This window comes from Homo sapiens, chromosome 5 (genome assembly GCF_000001405.40).
Source record: "Homo sapiens chromosome 5, GRCh38.p14 Primary Assembly".
Lineage (NCBI taxonomy): Eukaryota > Metazoa > Chordata > Mammalia > Primates > Hominidae > Homo > Homo sapiens.
The window spans coordinates 54,658,971-54,678,856 of NC_000005.10; the positions used below are offsets into that span (position 1 = coordinate 54,658,971).

General features: G+C 41.8%; 1 long non-coding RNA gene across 2 annotated transcripts in view; it reads right to left on the reverse strand.

Annotated features, from left to right (window-relative positions):
* Positions 1 to 1,187: 1,187 nt before the first annotated feature.
* LINC02998 (long intergenic non-protein coding RNA 2998) overlaps positions 1,188 to 19,886 on the reverse strand; it is an 84,101-nt gene continuing 65,402 nt past the window's right edge. For both annotated transcript variants that reach the window (NR_104658.1, NR_104659.1), the window contains exons 2-3: positions 7,088 to 7,205; positions 1,188 to 1,490 (exon numbers count right to left, since the gene is read on the reverse strand). This is a non-coding gene — a long non-coding RNA (long intergenic non-protein coding RNA 2998). The remainder of the gene's footprint in view (positions 1,491 to 7,087; positions 7,206 to 19,886) is intronic.

Below are 19,886 nucleotides of genomic sequence, written 5' to 3' on the forward strand. Positions count from 1 at the left end.
ATCAACTCTGCAAAATGACTCTTTATCTTAATGAAGGAACTATGGTGTGTTCAGAGGTTAAAAAACATACCCATCTGTTAAGGAAAGATAAAAGTTGCTTGCTAATGAATTATTTTGGATTTTAATCTAAAAGGCAAAGAAATCAGTCTAATTTCTTGTAGTTTATGATGGTTTAAAGTTTCATCTAAGAAAGAAAGCTTAACAAAACTTGTTATATATTTCTTGACTAACTTTTTATTTATTTATTTTTTAAATTGAGATGGAGTCTCTCTCTGCCACCCAGGCTGGAGTGCTGTGGTGCAATCTCAGTTTACTGCAGCCTCTGCTTCCTGGGTTCAAGCTATTCTTGTGCCTCAGCCTCCTGGTGTAGCTGGGATTACAGGCACCTGCCACCACCCCTGGCTAATTTTTTTGTATTTTTAGTAGAGACAGGGTTTTACCATGTTGGCCAGACTGGTCTCGAACTCCTGACCTCAAGTAATCTGCCCACCTTGGCCTCCCAAAGTACTGGATTACAGGCGTGAGCTACTGCGTCCCGCCATATTTCTTGACTAACATTAATTTTTATTAATGCTCTTTTCTCGATCCTGCACCCATGTCTGGTAAGGACATAGTTACTTAGAGCAGCAAACTTCCACTTATGAAAAACGAGACTGAGTGAGTTATGGAGAAGATGTTAAATAGAAGTCTGAGTTGTAAGTACCACAGACTGTTTATGAATTGGCTTGAGAAAAAAAAAAAAGAATTTACTGGACAGCCACTTTAGTGTCCTGGAATTCAAGTCACAGCCAAGTTTGGATAGAGCTGAGGCCTCGGGCACCAATGGAGCTGAAGCAGGAAACTCTCAGCTCTCTCCCCTCGCCTCACCTCTGCCGCTCTGGATGCCAGCTTTGTCTTCCGAAGACTGGCTTTCTTTTTGCTGTAGAAAACATGGTTGTTGGCAGTTCCTGAGTTTCATACTTTTCAGCTTTAGTCACTGAAGACTTGTTCTCTGGTTTCAAATGCCAACTTTCAATGAACTCTACCAGTGGCAGGTGGCCATGTTGATCAACATGGCTGCTCCTGCAGTAGTTGGGGAGGGAGAGAGATTTCCCAGAAAAATAAGTGGGTTGGGAAGACAAAACCATACGTACCATATGTTAGGTTTCTAGGGCTGCTGTAACAAACTACCACAAACTGGCTGGCTTAGACATCAGACATTTATTATTTCACAGTTCTGGGGTTTAGAAGTCCAAGATCACAGTGTTGGCAGGGTTGGTTCCTTCTGAGGACTCAGAGAGAATCTGTTCCAGGCCTCTCTCCTAGCTTTTGGTGGTTTGTTGGCAATCTCTGGCTTTCCATAAGCATCAGCCTGATCTCTGCCTTCATCTTCACACAGCATCTGTTGCCCAGGCTGGAGTGCAGTGTCACAATCTTGGTTCACCGCAGCCTCGACCTCCTGGGCTCAAGCGATCTTCCCACCTTAGCCTCCCAAGTAGCTGCAAGTTTCCCTGTTTTATATAAAGCATCAGTCATATTAGATTAGGGCCCACCACATATTAGTATGTCCTCATCTTAACTGAGCTAATTATATCTTCAATGACACTGTTCCCAAGTAAGGTCTCATTCTGAGGTGCTGGGGGCTAGGATTTCAACATATAATCAAGCTTATCCAACCTGAGGCCTGCTGCAAGCAGCATGTGGCCCAGGACAGCTTTGAATGCAGCCCAACACAAATTAGTAAACTTTCTTAAAACATTATGAGATTTTTTTGTGTGATTTATTTTTTAACTCATTAGCTATCGTTAGTCTTAGTGTATTTTTTTTTTTTTTTTTGAGATGGAGTCTCGCTCTGTCACCAGGCTGGAGTGCAGTGGCGTGATCTTGGCTCACTGCAACCTCCGCCTCCTGGGTTCAAGCAATTCTCCTGCCTCAGCCTCCCGAGTAGCTGGGACTACAGGTGCGCACCACCACACCCAGCTAATTTTTGTATTTTTAGTGGGGTTTCACCATGTTGGCCAGGATGCTCTTGATCTCCTGACCTTGTGGTCTGCCTGCCTCAGCCTCCCAAAGTGCTGGGATTACAGGCAGCAGCCACTGCACCCGGCTAGTGTTAGTGTATTTTATGTATGGCCCATGACAATTCTTCTTCTTCCAATGTGGCCCGGGGAACCCAAAAGATTGGACACCCCTGGAAGGGTCTATTCAACCCATAGGATTTCATACAGGGCAGTGCCTCATACACAGGGTATCAGAGATCAAAGAATGGAGGCAAGAGGCGAGGGCAAAGAGTCATAAACTAGAATCATGAATTCCTTCAGATTTCATCTTGCAAGAGAGAAAAATAAGTAACAAAATCTGCATCCAGAGAAAGAAATGCGGAATTTTTTTGTGATGGTAGAGGTAAGATAACCATCAAATATGTAGAATATAATGTGAAATACCACTGTGACTGTAGTGGCAAATCAGACACGTCAACCTGCTGGGCCTGCTCCATTTTTCTTCCTCATGCTCACCTCCATTTAGCGGCGTCTATTTGCCAGGGGTGAAGGTGGGGTGGGTAGGGGGTGTTAATGGAAATCAGCAGAACAAAAATCGCAGCTTCTTGTGCTCCCCAGCAAACCTGAACAAGAGAGGGGAGCAGAGAGAATTTGGAGAGAGAAGGAAGTCAGGTGCAATGGTGAAATGCCCTGCTTCCACTCCTACCTCCATACGAGTGCTGAAGGGAGCTTACAGTTTGGCGTTCAAGAGTCCCAGCACTTTGGGAGGCCGAGGTGGGCAGATCACGAGGTCAGGAGATTGAGACCATCCTGGCTACCACGGTGAAACCCCGTCTTTACTAAAAATGCAAAAAATTAGCCAGGCGTGGTGGCACGTACCTGTAGTCCCAGCTACTCGGGAGGCTGAGGCAGGAGAATAGCTTGAACCCGGGAGGCAGAGGTTGCAGTGAGCCGAGATTGCACCACTGCACTCCAGCCTGGGCAACAGAGAGAGACTCCGTCTCAAAAAAAAAAAAAAAAAAAAAAAAAAAAAAAAAAAAAAAGAGTGAAGTGGACCTCTACCTCATTTTCTGCCAGGGCCCCTTGAGAGACAAAGCCCTACAGATGCCCCCTGTTGCCCGGAATATTTGGAGGGCATCGAGACAGCAACAAGTGGCTCCTGGGGCCCAAGATGACAGAGGAAACCAGCAAGATCCCTGGAACCTCCATCTCCTTGCACTGCCCATCCCACGAGGCCAGATGGAAGTCTCCACTGCAGCAGCACCAGTGGACAGATGCAAACCAGCCACACTGCCATAGTGGCTGCCTGTGAACCCAGGTCCATCCAAAGGCAGGGGAGGGGCAGAATCTTTCACTGATCGAGTGTTTAATCAGCAGAGACTGATAAAGTACTCAATTAAGCTAGATTTGGTACCTGAAATTAACATAAATTAACAGAATTAAGGTTTTCACTGTCAAAGTGGAAAATCAGAATCGGAGATCTGATTGCTTATAAAGTTCAATGACCAAGTTGAGTGTGTAAAAAATGAAAAACTATTCTGTCTGTTATGCTTTCATTTATTTAGCCATGGGATAGACTGAACACAAGCATCTCATTTGCACAGCAAATCAGAGGGTTGTGCTATTATTACCATTTTACAGATAAGAAGACTGAAGCCTAGGGAAGTTGAAAAACTTGGACTCAAAACCAAGTTTGAGTGAATTGTACGGCATGTGAATTTTATCTCAAAAAAGTGGCTACAAAACAAAACAAAATGAAACAGGTCTGCTTGGTCATAAAGCCCATATACCATACACCACAGAATATATCTGGTTTAGGTTGGGCTATTGCTGGCAGGAAGAATAGGTTAGTTCAGGTCATATTCTTCCTTTTTAAGAGAGTGTGATATATCCCAAAGCAGAGATTTATTAATTTTCTTTTAAAAACAGTTCTAAGGGCCTGACAAAACAAACTGATAAAAGTTCTGCGTTTGGAAAAAACAACAACAACAAAAAAAAAAGTTTTGCATTTTTGTGTTCATGGGGATGAGAGTTCCATAAAGAGTTACATTGTCTCCTCAAAACACTAAGGCCACACTGAAGTTGGCTTTGCTTAAGAAAGGGGAAAATTCACTTAGATTCATTCAATGTGGCTTTAGTGCTTTGGACATTAACTTAGATTCATCACTTTTCTTTCCCTTTTTTTTTTTTTTTTTTTTTTTTTGAGATGGAGTCTCACACTGTTGCCCGGGCTGGAGTGCAATGGCACAATCTTGGCTCACTGCAACCTCTGCCTCCCGGGTTCAAGCGATTCTCCTGCTTCAGCCTCCCGAGTAGCTGGGATTACAGGCACGCGCCACCATGCCCGGCTAATTTTTTGTATTTTTAGTAGAGACTGGGTTTCATTATGTTGGCCAGGCTGGTCTCAAGCTCCTGACCTCAAGCGATCTGCCTGTCTCGGCCTCCCAAAGTGCTGGGATTACAGGCGTGAACCACCGCGCCTGGCCAGATTCATCACTTTTCAAAACTATGTTTCGTGTGCTATTAATAAAAATCTTAATTTAATCCCTTATTTAAGGCACTGGTACCACTTTGAAGAGGGAATTGCCAAATACACTAGGAGGAATTCATACCGTTTTTATGTCCTTCTAAATGCAAAGTGGATCATAACATTATAAGATTTATGAAGAAATATTCATTCTGTTTTTTAAAGTTTCTTCTAAGTTCACAAGCACGATGACCTCTTGTTTCATAATTTATGGTAATGAATTCACGTTGTAGCTCATTTTGTAATACATTCTCTTAGAAAAATTACTTGACCTGGGGTGTTAAAATGGATATGTACTGAGATGACAAGTTTGAAAGCCTTTCAAGAGCTCTGTTCACAAGTTATCAGAGGAATGAAGGCGACATTTCAGAGTCCTTTAATTATGTCAGATGATGTGATAAGGAAAATAATATCCTAACTGACAAATCAAAATCATACGTTGGGATGAAGTCAGTTACATACACAATAGATTCCTTTCTCTTGAAAGCGATGGTCTGGACACATTTCAGTAACTTTCTTCTTTAGCCACAAACAGTGAACCACAGAGAAAGCATGAAGTCTGCATTTCTGCATGGGGCATTTTCAAAATGCTGACTTGCTGCCATGGAAGGTCGCCCAGCGTACTGAGCAAAGTGAAAAAAATGCAAGTTGCACAACAATGCGTGCAGTGTGACACCATTCACAGGGGAAAACAGATATGATAAGATGTATTATGACCTGATACAATACTATACTATATTATGTTATGTAGAAGGACAATTCTGAAAAGACCCAAAGGAAACAGTTAATAATTGTTGCTTTTGGGAAGAATAAATTGGGGATGATGGTGTCTTTTGCATATTATATTTCAAAAGGTTTTATGTTAGCAATATTAAAAATATTAAAATGAACGAGTAAAGAAAATAGAAAAGAAAAGAGAGTTGCCACATCGTAAAGAATAGCAGGTAAGGAGGCTCGGTTTGTCCAGCGGGAATGGACCCCAGCATCCCTCACTTGGTCATTCATCAGCGATTAGTTGACTCCTTTGTATGTGAACATCCTGATGTACTGTCTCATCTCCTTTGATACCATACACCCTGACAGGGTGTCCAATTGATTTCATGCAGGGCAGCAACTCATACACAGGTTGGACAAGCTTGATTAGCTCAGTTGGTGTGAGAGAACCAACAGCAAAAAATAAACCCTGGAGAAGTTCAGTTTTGACCTTCTTGCTCCATTGTCCTGCTAATGCGGAATATTGAAAACATCTATTCTGTGAGATTTGTAGAATACAGTTTGATTTATTTTACTTTACGATTCAAACTGTATGCTTTCACTTTTTAAAAGGACCACATATCCATGTGGAAAGAGAAACATCTATTTTCTAGACATTTTAAACCTTCTCTGAGCTGTCATTTTATTCTTCAGAGTCTACCTTCCTTCAGCTGGAGATCTGATGTGCTGGTAGAGAATCAATGGTGGTATATTTGAAAAATCAATGCTAATGGGTTCCAACATCAAATCAAAAGGTGGGTATTTCCAGTGAAAACTTTCAAATGTATTAAAAATAGCACTCGGTTTGTTATTTTTTAATAGAATGTAAGATTTTGAAGAATTTGGCAAAGTGTCAGAGATAGGCTACAAGCAAGTCTGTGTATAAGCAAATACCTGCCAGCCTTGTTATCTGAGCTGGGGGGCTTTGCTGTGCTTCTCTCTGATTTCTGAGATGTGACATGCCCACAGAACAAAACTCCTTTCTAGGATATAACAGAGAAAACTAGATTCCAGAGATGTGGCCTCGTTTTCATATTTCTGTCCCTTAAAAGTGCTATGTTCATTCTCACTGCGGGTTCTTCACATTACTTTTCCTTCTGCTTGGAATGGTTTTTCCTAAGATCTTCACATAGCTGCCTTTGTTCCATCATTTAGATCTATGATAGGTAGAATAACAACCCTCTTCTGCCCCCATGCCCTCCTACCCCCGAACCCTGATGATGTCCTAATCCTTGGAACTTTACTGACGTGATTAAGTTAAGGATGTAGAGATGGGAGGATTATCTAGGTAGGTCCAATGTATTCACAAGGGTCCTTTTAGGTGTAAGAAGACAGGAAAGTGAGTATCAGAAGCACAAAAGGGTCTGAGGATGCTAATCTGCTGGTTTTGCAGTTGGAGGAAGAGGACCACAGGAAGGACTGCTGACATCCTCTCAATGCAGGAAAAGGTAGGGAAATGGGTTCTTCCTAGACCCTCAGAGAGAATGCAGCCCTGCTGACAACCTGCTTTTAGCTTAATGAGACCTCTGTTGGACATCTGACTTTCAGAATTATGAGTTCATAAATTTGTAGGATTAAGTCATTAAATTTTGGTAATTTACCATGGCAGCAATAGGAAACTAATACAAGGTCATAACTCAATTGTCACCTCTTAGAACTTCTTCAAACCCCAACTAAAGAGTCTTCAATCACTCTTTACTGTGTCATTTTATACTCTTCATAGTATTTATCAATACCTGAAAAAATTTGAGATAATAAGTACAATTTTAAATAGTTTTCTTCCATTCGAATATGAACTCCTAGAAGCAGCAGGGACTGTCTTGCTCACCATGGTAGCCCCAGCACCTAGAATAATGTCTGGCACATAGTAGGTCCTCATGAAAACAGTACTGCTCCTTCCTTTACAGTCATTCTTCTTCCTCCTCCTCTTCTTTTCCAGAATATATCTGTGGGAAGAAAAAAAAATTTCATTTAAAATATTTGTTTTTTTTGGAAAATAAGCCATTTGGAGCAATTTTTAAATGGATGGGTGTAAGAGTCCTCTTGCACCTCTCCCCTCACCTGCTTGCTTTTTTTCCCAAGGTTGAGAGTGAGTCTGGCCAAGTAAGTTATTCCAGAATTCCATCAGATAGTTCAAGCCAAGAAAGGGGCTGAAATTTCAAGATTTGTATCTCTGATAATTCATTGAGGGATGAAAATTGGGCCTGAGCTTGACGTATTTCTAGATGTGACGTTACTGTTCATTGGTGGTTTAGTGGAAATCTTCCGCAGGCAAGTACTACAGAAGAGATTGGAGGATGGGTGGGTGGAGGCATTTGTGAAATGCCTGTGCTTGGCACACAAGAGTCTACCTTCCTTGGCCACTGTGGACTTGTCCAGCCTCATCCTTACTCTCTCCCCTTTATGCAGGTTATGTTCCAAGATCCCTGGAATTCTTGCTGATCCCTTGAAACACTATGCTTTCATTCCTTGTATCTTTCTCCTGCTGCTTCTGAGCCTGAAAGGTCTGTCTTCTCTTTGTCTCTGTGGTAAACTCCTGGTCTTCCTTGAGAGAACAGTTTTCTTCTTCTACTCCTGTCTGTGTCTCCCTGGGTAACTTGTATTTACTAAGAGTTCTAACAGATACTTCTTCATGGTCATCTGTCTGAAGACAGGGACACTGTCTCGTGCCCTCTTGAATCCCAAATGCAAAGCATAGGTATGGCACAGTCATCTTCTGGAGGTAGGAATCTCCATCCTGCATTAGACTGGACCAAGATCATGCACTATTCATTTCTGAATCTCAGAATCATGATGGCCTGGAGTGGCACTGAATATGTGTTTAATGGCTAGACTTAAATGGCACGGGTGACAGAGACTGCTTGCTATTCCCTAGTGATATTTTTAACTTATAAGATTTTTACCTTGACACTTAGCTAACTGGAACATTTCTCAGCTTTATAGCCAGCTATGGCCAAGTGATCATGTTACAGTCAATGAAATTTGAGTGGAAGTGTCATGTGGTAGATTCTAGAAACCTTTGTTAAGAGATGGATGCAATGTGCCCTTTCTTTGGATTCTGTCTCCTATCTTCCAGTTTGGAATATAAATGCCTTTAGTCGTGTGTCATCAGAATCCCAGTGCAGTACCCTGGGACTAGTAACAGTGAGAAAGTGTTACCACTCCAGGCCTGGGGCAAAAGAAAGGAGACGTTAATTGGTATCTGGAAGAAGAGTGTTCTTTGAGGGCCTCCCATCAGGAGCCATAACTTTCTATGGAAAGAACTAGCAGCCTGCAGGGACGTAGCTAAGAAAATAAATATCTGACCCCTCACCCTTCTGCATCCTCAAATCAATGCTCCCTATAAGCTGAACCAACCAGAAATCAGAAAATAAGGGAGCCCATTGATGTGAAGCTTGGAGGCCCATCTCCAAGGGAATAACAGGTGGAGTAGAGATATCTAGCACACCTGGGTAGACCTGCTTTCTCATTTTTAAGATAAGGGAATTAGATTAAATGATCTCTACTATTCTTTCTGGTTGTAATATTTCAGTGGATTTTCTCCATTCAAGCATTTTACAAGCCTTCCTGTTACCTACAGTCAGGCATTCCTGAGCATCAGGTCTTATAGACCAATGTTCCCAACTCAAAATTATATTAATTGATGAAAGGAAGACAACTAGAACAATGGGTCATATTAAAGAGCCCATAAACAGACCCACACATATATGAACAATTGATTTTATGATAAAAATAGCACTGTAGAGTAGTGGCAAAAGGATTATCTTTGTAATAAATCATGCTAGGTCAATTGTATTCTTACACAGAAAAAAATAAATATTAACCTGTACCTCATACATAATTATATTTGGACTATGAACCTAAATGTAAAATAAACAAAGCTCCTAAAGAAAACATAAGAAAGTATCTTCGTGACATTGCTATAAGGTAAAAGAATGAACAAAAGACTTGAAAGAGCATTTCATAAAAGAAGCATATCCAAATGGCCAATAAACATAAGATAAGGCATCTAACTTCACTGGTTATCACCAAGATGACTAACATTACAAAGATTGACAGTAACACATGTTGATGAAGATGTGGAGCAACTGGAACTCTCATACTCTGCCAGCGAGTATGAAAATTGGTATAGCCACTTTGGAAAACTGTTTTCTAGTATCTACTAAAGTTGAACATATGTAAAACCTATGGCCCAGAACAAATAGGTCTATCCACAAAAGATATGCATGTGTATATTCACTGAAAAACAAATACAAGAATATTCATTACAGCATTATATGTAAGGGAGAAAAACTGGAAAAATGAAAGTGGAAACCAAGAGTACAGTGGATAGAAGACTTGAGGTGTGTTTACATAATTAAATGCTAATATAGAGCAATAAAAATGAATGAATAATTGCTACATGCAACCATGAGGCTGAAACTCATGAAAAGTACATAGAAAAGCAAATACTGAATGATTACTTTTACCTAGATTAAAAACAGGCAAGCAATAATGGTGTCAGAAAGCAGGGTTATGTTTACCTTTTGGGAGGATATAGGGATTGGGGTCGGGGCAAGAGGACAGCTACTGGGGTGCTGGTAACTTTTTGTTTGTTTGATCATGGTCATGGTTCTATGAGTGCGTTTACAGCAAAAGCTCTTTGAGCTATACAGTGATTTCTGCCTTTTTTTTTTTTTTTGAGGTGGAGTTTTATACTTGTCACTCAGGCTGGAGTGCAATGGTGTGATCTTGGCTCACTGCAACCTCTGCCTCCCAGGTTCAAGCAATTCTCCGGCTTCAGCCTCCTGAGTAGCTGGGATCACAGGCACGGGCACCATGCCCAGCTAATTTTTGTATTTTTAATAGAGATAGGGTTTCACCATGTCGGTCAGGCTGGTCTTGAACTCCTGACCTCAGGTGATCCTCCCACCTCAGCCTCCCAAACTGCTGGGATTACAGGCATGAGCCACTGTGCCCAGCTGGCTTGTGCTTATTCTTATAAATAGAGACTTAGAAATTTATCGACTTCAGTAAGTAAACGTTATCATTGAATACATTTTTTTTTTATAAAAGCTGGAGCAAGAACCTGAACACTAGTCCTTCCATATTCAATAGTAATATAAGGATCAGGACAAGAGCATGTCTGTGTTGCCATTGAGGAAGTAACAACAGTGAACACTTCCAAAGAAGATTTCTTTGAACAGATGTTCAAAACCAAAAAGGTTTCCCAAGTCATTTGTGAAACCAAATTTTCCTGCAGTCTGGAGTCCCGGGTATTGTGTCAGGAATCATATGCAATGAGATCATTTTCTTTTGCCCACATTTCTGCCTGATAAAGAAAATAAATCTATTTGACAGAGCAAAGAATTGCCTCATATGAAAATACACTGAGAAAAAGGCAGCATTATTCTCAACTCCTAATGCCTAGGAGAAAAATGATATGAGGTTTAAAAGAGTTTTCTGCCCTGAGAAAGGTTCAATTTTTACAGATTCTCTCAGCAATTAGTGCATTTATGAAATAAATTCTGGGCCATCCACAAGCTAATTCCAACAAGTATTGTAAGTGGCTTTACTGAAAAGACATATCAAAATAATGACAAAAACAACAATGATAACCACAACACCCCAAACAAGAGCCATGTTGATGACAAGAGGGGTTAGAGGTAGTTTTAATATAAAATCTGTCTATGCTAAAGAAAGTTAAACTAACTGAGCACCACACTTAACTATTACCCTCCTGGTGGCCAAGGCAAAAAGAAACCTCATAAATTGTTTAGCTCATTAAAAAGAAAAAAAAAAAAGAAAGAAAAAGGAAGGAAGGAAGTGTGCTAGTGCAACATGAGAGACAAACATTCCTAGAATAGTAAGAGAAAGTAATCAGGAGGGTTTGTTTTACATATGGTTTTAAACATCATAATAGAATTTGTCATTATAGGAAGTTTTATAGTATATATGAAACATTCTCAATTATCCCTGGCAAAAGGCAAAGGCATAACAACATTAAGTCGTGGTTTCTTAAAGGTACAATGTAATCAATGAACTCCTGGCTTTGAAGCAGTTGTGTAGTGTCCTGGAGGATGTGAAGAATTTGTGTAGCCTGAGTTTCCTTGGTCACACTACTCTGGGCAAAGTTAGAGTAACCAGCAGGGTCTGTCTGGCCCTGCCCCTCATCAACACTGCAGAATCCCTCTAGCTGCTCCTGGGAACCCCCAGGGGATGGCACATGTGTGCTCACCATATGGCCCTTTCAGCTACCATATGACCCTGCACTCAGCTTCCCCCTGCTACAGCTCCCTGCAGTGATGTTTGTGTTGGGGCATGATGGACCCACCCCCAATGAGGACACTGACACCTCCAACCTGCTATGGCTATGCTTCAAAGCCACAAAATGTATCCCCTGCTGCTGGAGCTGTTGGCACTGACCCTTCTCTGTCTCTCTCACACCCACCAAATGTGATGCCTCCCTCTCCTTCTTCTGCCCGGATTGGGGCGAGGTGGCCACAGTGCAAATTCTGTTTTTTCTGGACTCCATACAACTCCAATCTCAACCCCAACCAGAAGGCACCATAACACTTTCTTGTGCTCTCCTCTGGACCATCCAAAAGCTGCCTTCTGGGCTGCCTGACAGTCATATTCTTAGTCTTACATGTTCCTACAGCGTCTCTTCTTTAGGAGCCAACTGTGGGGGGCTAGACCAGAAATGTTCTGATTTTGAGAAAAGCGTGAAGTTTATGAGTTTTACTTTCTGATATGGGTCTATTACCTTGAACCAAGCCAGTATGCCAGGCTTTATATCCCTAAAATACGCCTTTCCCAAAAGGAGGACCATCTTCCAGGAATGTCCAGGCATGTGTGAATCCAGGAGGAACATGGCGTGAACCTCAGCAGAGACTCCACCCATATTAGCATGTCCTTAATAGCTCCCCAATGTTTGTATTTACTGCCTAGATCTTGTCCAAAGCCAGGCTTTTCCAGAAAGTGCACATTCCTCTTCTGATCTTGCATCGTGCCAGAGAGGCAGCTCTGTTTAAATAGCAATAGTCATAGTTGCTTAATGCCTGTTTCACACCGTATACTGTGAGGCATTATTTCTGCTTTTCACAATCACTGCAAGGAAAGTGCTGCTATTCAAATTTTAAATACAAAGAGGTCAAGTAGAGAGGTTAAGTGATTTCCCCAAGGCCACAATGAGTGGTAAAGCTAAGACTCAAACCCAGATTGGTTGGAATCAAGCCTAGGCTTGTCTTGTGTAATACAGTTCAGTATTACCCAGGCCCTGGAACCGAAATCTGCGTATGAACAGCTCTCTTAGGACATATTCAAATATTTTCATCCTCTTTGCTGAGAATTTAAGAGATGAATGTGGACTCCCAAACACACACAGCCTCTTGAGTCCTGGCATAAAGTCTGTTCTCAGACTTCTTTAGATAGATTTCACACTGTCATCATTTTCTAACCTAGGGTAGCTTCCACCTCAAGTACAATAGGAATATATTCTAGTAGTTGATCAGTTCAAATTTCCTGCATTTCCACGGCTCATTCTTGGCTCAGAAAACCCTGAGCCTACTCAGGCTGAGGGGGACCCCCCTCTTGTGCTTCCAGGTGTCACATGATTGAAACCACTTTTGCAAAGATTATGACAGCAAGAGAGGTCTAGCATGGCTGACTCCATCTTGCTTCTAGTCTCACAGGCTGACTGTCCTTGCTCATTCCTGGGCATACGCCAAGCTAACTATGGAAGGAATTTAGTTTACAGTTTAACTTTAGAACAAGGATGATAATAGTCCCTCCCTAAAACTAACCTCCTTCTTGCTGAGGGACAGAAGCTGCCTTTGTAAAACTAATGAAAGGCCATGAGATTAGGATTATGGAAGGGGCCTGAATTCTGCTAAAATGTAGGCATAGTTTTTATAATCCCTATGCTGGAGAGCATGTGGCCAGAGGCCATAATATTTGTGACTTTCACAATTATTGCTACAGATAACATCACTATTGTATAACCTAATATTGGTCTTTTGAGACGTTTTTCAGACTTTTGCATTCTGGCAACTGACTGACCCCACCTGGACACGTAACTCATGTCTTAATCACACCTGTGGTCACAACCCAGAGGCAGATTCAGCACACGAGGACCATTTTTCACACCCTTATGATTTCATCCCCAACCAATCAGCAGCACCCATTCCCTACCCACCTGTCCACCAAATTATTCATAAAAACTCTAGCCTCTGAGTTCTCGGAGAGGCAATTTGAGTAATAATAAACTCCTGTCCTTCTGCTTGGTCAGTCTTGCATTAACTAAATTCTTTCTTTACTGCAAGACTGCTGTCTCAGTAAATTGGGTTTATCTGTGCAGCCAGCAAGAAGAACCCATCAGGCAATCACATTAATACCCCTGTGAAAGCCCTTTCCCTGAAATCAACATTTCTTGCTATCTTGCTTTTTCCTGTCCCACAGCTCTGTTTCCATTTAGGGATTCCTGTGCAGCTGACTCTCACATCTACCTCCAGGGTGGAGCCTGTGACCATCTTTTGGTCATGTAATTGATTAGCTCAGCTTAGCCACCAGCCCCACCCTGAACCACACTGAGTCTCAGGACATTTTCCAGGAGTGCTGGGGCAAAGACACATTCTTTCTCATGGGATCTGAAAAAGGAAGCATGTTTCTCTGAGAGTTGCTTATGGCCATTTTGGGACTCTGAGCAGGGTCAGCCTTAGAATGCAGCCAGTATCCCAGAAGGCAGGTAGAGAAATGGAAAAGAAACCCAATGGCTGAGCTGCTGGGAGTGAGCTTGTCTTAGGCAAACCTTCCTTGAGAGTTTTCAGTCATGTGAGCCAATCAATTTCCTTCCTGGTTTGAGCCTGATTGAGCCAGATTTTCTGTTGCTTGCAATACAAGCATCTTACATCTACATTTTGCAATAATGGTCAAATTTTTTGTTGTCTCTCTCCCTAGATTGTGAGCTCCTTGATCCCTAAGAGAAAATTGGTTGAAGGAATGAAAGGACAAAAAGATAAAAGGAAAAAGAAATCAGTTGCTCATGTGTGTTGAGGACTTGTTTAAGGCCATTACCATTTAACTAGCTATTCACTGCTCTTCCTGATTCATGGACATTCCAATTAAAGAGCTGGATCCTTTGAGAAATCTTCAATACCAATATCCATGGTCAGGAACAGTGCTCATTTAGCAGAAAGGAGGTCAACTCCACCAGAACTTATGAAATCTGCAGAGCAAGGAATAACTCAGAGAATCTTGCAGATGAACTTGCATTTCTTATCATGTGATAAACAAAGAAACTTTAATTTATCCATCGTAAATCAGGGTCTTGGAAATAAAGCATGGGGAAATGGATGTCTATAGGAGCCCTCTGCAGAAATGTTGCCCCTTGACTCCAAGCTCAGAGAGGCTTGTATTTGAAGATGTCAGCAGCCTCCCGCTCCACAAATGAATCATGAGAAGGAGGGAATGAAGGTGGTTGAAGTAGGTGTGGGCCTTTCATCCTCTACAGTATGCCTATCGTGAGTATCTGATGTTGTTATGTGCACTTATGTGTACTTGCACACATGCACCCATCTAAAACAACATTTTCTGTTGGGAGTTTCAAAAGAAAAAAGTGAAGCTGTTACTGAAGCCCCAGAAGAAAAGATTTGCATAAATGGGGATGGATTTCTTGCAATCTCCCCTGGTGCTGCTTGTCCCAGTCCTTGCCCCACCCACCTACTACACACACAGGAACAGCTCTTCTCTGCAAGAAATGCTAGACAGGAGGAAGTGCCCTGGCCTTGACCTCCTGCTTTCACAGCATCACACATCAGTGGTGGTGAGTGCCGTGGAGGAAGCATTGCATGCATAACTGAGTTAGCAAATAGGAAAGAGGGCTTTCAGAGAGTAGTGGGGAGAAGAGGAAGGGTGGCAGAAAGTATTGCTGCAAGAACTAAGCTCTAGGCCTGGCACTGCCACCATATCTGAGCAAGTCCTTATGCTTCTCTACACCTTGATTTCTTCAATGGCAAACTGGGGAGATTCTGGGTAACAAGATAAGGCATGATGTCTGCTACCACATGGAAATAAGAAGGAGCACAAAAGCCATTTTTCCAGCTCCTCCAGGGTTTGTCCCACCACCACCACCAGCTACCAGGGAGACTGTGCCCTGAATTCCTTCTTTTTTTCCCATAGATGTTCAACAGCCTCCTCCACACTCAGAGTGTCTCATTTCCAGAAGACTCATGACTCCTGCCATGCTGTCCCATCTATGAATAGAGAAAAGGAACATTTACTTGGTACTCCAAAACTGTGGGGATCACAACGCAAAGACCACCTGAAAGAGTGTCACAAAGAAAAATACACCTGTAAAAGGCTACTAACCAGCTATCATCCTATCAACAGCCGCACACTCATTCACTCATTTACTTGTTCAACAAATATTTATGTCGAAGTTAATCACTTACTCAACAAATAATTATACTGCCAGGATCTGGAGGTACAAGAGTAAATAAAGTATAGAAATTCCTTTTTTGCTGTTTAGTTTAGTAGGAGATACAAGTAATAAAGCAACTTTAAAAGCACTATAATTAGATTGCCTTGGATAGAAAGTTATAAAGTACTATTATAGTGCACATCATGGTGGGGGCAGTGGGTTGCTCCTAGTCTGTCCAAAGGAAGGTGGAAGGGTGAGCAGCAGAAGTGATCAGGGAAAGAAGAGGTGGGGTTGGGTCTACAGAGAGTGTTCCAGGCAAGGAACAGCCGGGTGAGGCCTGAAGGTGAGAGTGAGAGAGGACAGGTGGGTTGCAACAGAGATTGTTTGAGGACAAGTGTGTGGAAGCGGGGAAGCCTGAATAAAGTGGTGGTAATAGTGTACTTCGGTAGATTCTTGGGCAAGAGCATGACCTTACAAATATACTTTAGGAAAAAAAAAACAGTCTGTTTTCTATATTCAGCATGCATTGGAAGTGACAGAGACCAGAGGTAGGGAGAAGGGCAAGGGGATTTTAGTAGTAATGAGGACAAGGACCAGAGTGCTATCCCTGAAAACAGAGAATAAAGAACAGGTAGAGCAAAGACATGGAATCAACCCAAATGCCCATCAATGACAGACTGGATAAAGAAAATGTGGGACATATTCACCATGGAATACTATGCAGCCACAAAAAGGAATGAGATCACATCCATTGCAGGGACATGGATGGAGCTGCAAGCCATTATCCTCAGCAAACTAACACAGGAACAGAAAATCAAACACCGTATGTTCTCACTCGTAAGTGGGAGCTGAACAATGAGAACACCTGGACACAGGGAGGGGAACAACACACACTGGGGCCTGTTGGAGGGTGGGGTAGGGGGAGAGCATCAAGATAAATAGTTAATGCACACGGGACTTAATACCTAGGTGATGGGTTGATCGTGCAGCAAACCACCATGGCACACGTTTACCTATGTGACAAACCTGCACATCCTGCACATGTACCCCAGAACTTAAAATAAAAATAAAAATTAATTAAACAAAAAAGAACAGACAACCAATAGGCTGTCTTTCAGCTTAGCCTATGCTGTACTAGGAGAGCCTGGGAGAGAACTCTGTTTAGAAATAAACAAGCCCAGGGATTGCCATCTATTTGCCCTGTATTCACTTGGACTTATTTATCATAGTGCTTTTTCAAACTGTGTTCAAAACTCCCTGGGGTTTTCCAGAGGTGCTTTAGAGACCCAATTCAACCATGTTGGCCTATTTTGGACAAACAAAGGCTTGAAAATCACCAGCATACCTTTTCACAGTGTACATGCTCTGTCCGAGGTCCAGTGCTCTTGGTGGTTATTAAAAGTGGATTTGTGTGTGTGTATCAAGACTGCCACGCACTCTCAGAAGTTCACTCTGTGCCCCCCTTCAAGCCCCTCTTGAAGACAGGAATCTCTCTATTTCTGGTTGTTCTGCCCCTGCCCTCCCTACCTAAATCCAGACCCTACTCAAAAAGGAAAATGGTTTCTCAGCATTCCTCCCCATGTTCATTATCTGGCAGCTCTTCTCTGGAGGTTGGAAAGAATTAATCCATTATTGTTGTCAACACAATCATAATAAGGCATGAAAATGAAGTGATGAGATCTTTTTTTCAGTCAAACCTCTTGAAGAGAAACAGAAAACAAAAACAGCATTTTATCTTTGACTAGAATGATTATTTCTCAAAGGAAATAACTTCAGTCCCGTACTTTGTGGGAGGAAAGGCACAAGATGTGGAGGATGTCCAGGCACTGTGCCTGGCTCACAGACATTGTTCATAAATGTTTGGTTCATAGTTTCTTTCATTCATTCTATAAACATAAACTCTGATCTCTAGGAGGAGGATTTTATTTGCCTCTTGAACTATCTCTTGACAAAGCCAAGTCACCACACAAATGATGCAGGCAACTGCCAGCTGGTTTGCAAATTTCCTGAGTTGCCCAAGTACAGCACAGTGAGCATGAAAATCAAAGGCTCTCAAACCTGGAAGGAACCTTTAAAAATGACCCGAGGTCAATTGCCCAGGAAAATCCCTGCCAAGTGCTGCAAGTTGAGGTTGGAAGTGTCCAGTCTCTCTGATGCAGCCAAGTCTGTCTTTGGACAACTCTGTTAGAAGGCTCTTCCTGATATTGAATTGAAATCTATCACTTCATAGCTTTTCTTTATTCCTCCAATAAATCCTGTATGAGAGACCAGGAGGCAGAACAGAATCATTCAAATCCTCCTTCTTGGCAATCTGTTGAATATTGGAAGACAGGGGCCAAGTTCTCTGAGTCTTCTTTTCTCCAAGGCCTCTGTCTCCTAATCTTTCAAACATTTCCATGGGATAAGATTTTCAAATTATCTTGGTCCTTTTCCCATTAAGAAGCTTTACTTTTCTACTCTTAAAATAGGCTGCCTAGAATAGAAATAATTCCATGTGACTTAACTAGCGCAGAAAGGAACAGACTCTGCTAAATCTGATTTCAGAGACTGCCACTCACTAGCAGCGTGGCTTTGGCAAGTTACTTCCCTTTCTAGGAAACATGGTTTAATATGTAGCCTCAAGTAAAGTGCCTACTACAGTGCCTGGCATAAAGGGGTGTCAATACCTGATATCTACCTATCAATTGCTATTATTCTTCTGTCAATGCAGTTTCAGGTGGCACTAGACCTTAAGGTGATAACATCACACTATTGACTCCTAGGTTTTACCCACAAGTAAATTCAGAGTATTAAGTGGTTTTAATCCATGGCTCCCCCATCCTTTACTCACATTGTGTGTGTGTGTGTGTGTGTGTGTGTGTGTGTGTGTGCCTAAGCATCAAAATTTCCATTTATCTTATAAAATTGTATTTGTTCAATTCAGGTCATTGTTTAATGTGAGCAAATTTAATGAACAAGACTCTATCTTTTTATCTAAGTCTAAAACTAACAAAAATGCCCCCAAGTTCATGGTACAGAACCAAGCCTTGTTACCACTAGAAAACTTTCTTCAGGTTGATCCCTATCTATTAGCCACTATCTTTGAATAAATTAATTCAACCTGTAAATAATTCACTTAATTTCATTTTTATCTTGTGAATAATTTTTCCTCTAAAATAAAAGAATATCATAGCTTTGTCAAATGATTTGGGCAAGTCCAGAAAGACCAGAACTGCTGGGTTTTCTTTCTCTACCAATCTAGTAAACTATCACAGTAGGAAACACATTCTTTGTGAACTCCTATAGCTTTCTCATGATCACAGTTTTCCTGCCTGGATGTTTATAACTTACCTTAATGCCACACTTGGGAACCTCAGTGAGAAACTTTTCTATTTCCTAAAATAATTTTACTCATGAATTAAGGTAATGCTAGCAGTTGAAGCAGATATATCCCCACGTTTTTGTGTCTTAACCCAATAGAAGTTGTTTGTTTCTCATTCATGTCAAGTCTGTAAGGGCTGTTCCTGATCTGCGGGCCATCTTCTCCCCAAGCAGTAAATTCAAGGCTCCTTCCATTTTGCAGTTCTGGAATCTTCCTAATAAACCCAATACAAAGGATAATGCAGGATTAAATGGAAAATATTTCAGTAAAGAGAAGGAAGAGAATTTCAGACTGACAGAGAAATAAAGGAAAGACAAAGGCAGGGATGCAAAGAAGTATAGAGTACATGGCATTTAAACCAGGTGTGTAGGGAAGGCTTCTAGATAGGATCTGTGCCTTCAAGTGAGAGATGCAGATGATTTGTGTGTAAGGCAAGGAGGTAGCTGAGGAATATATACCCTGAACTCACTCTCCCTTTCCAGGGCTCCATATTGTCAAAACTGAACTAGTAGCCAGAGGGAAGGGAGTTTGCTGATGCGATACAGATTAGCTGTCGGGACAGAAAATGGGGAGAAGGGTACATAATGGGTCTGAAAGGCAAACAAAAGATAGCAGCATTTTAGAGGTGAAAACAGTACACTCTGACCTGTGCTTTACAGAGACTAATATGGTAGCAGTGGGAATGAGGATGGGAGGGGGCAGATATTGGAGGCAGGAAGACCTTCAGGGAGGGAGGGCCGGGACAGAGGGGTAATCATAGGACTAGAGGAAAGAGTTGAAAACTGGAATCAGTGAACGGTTAGATATGAGACGCATGAGGAGAGTTGAAGGGGACTCTCAGATCATGGTTTTGAAAGGCAAATGACA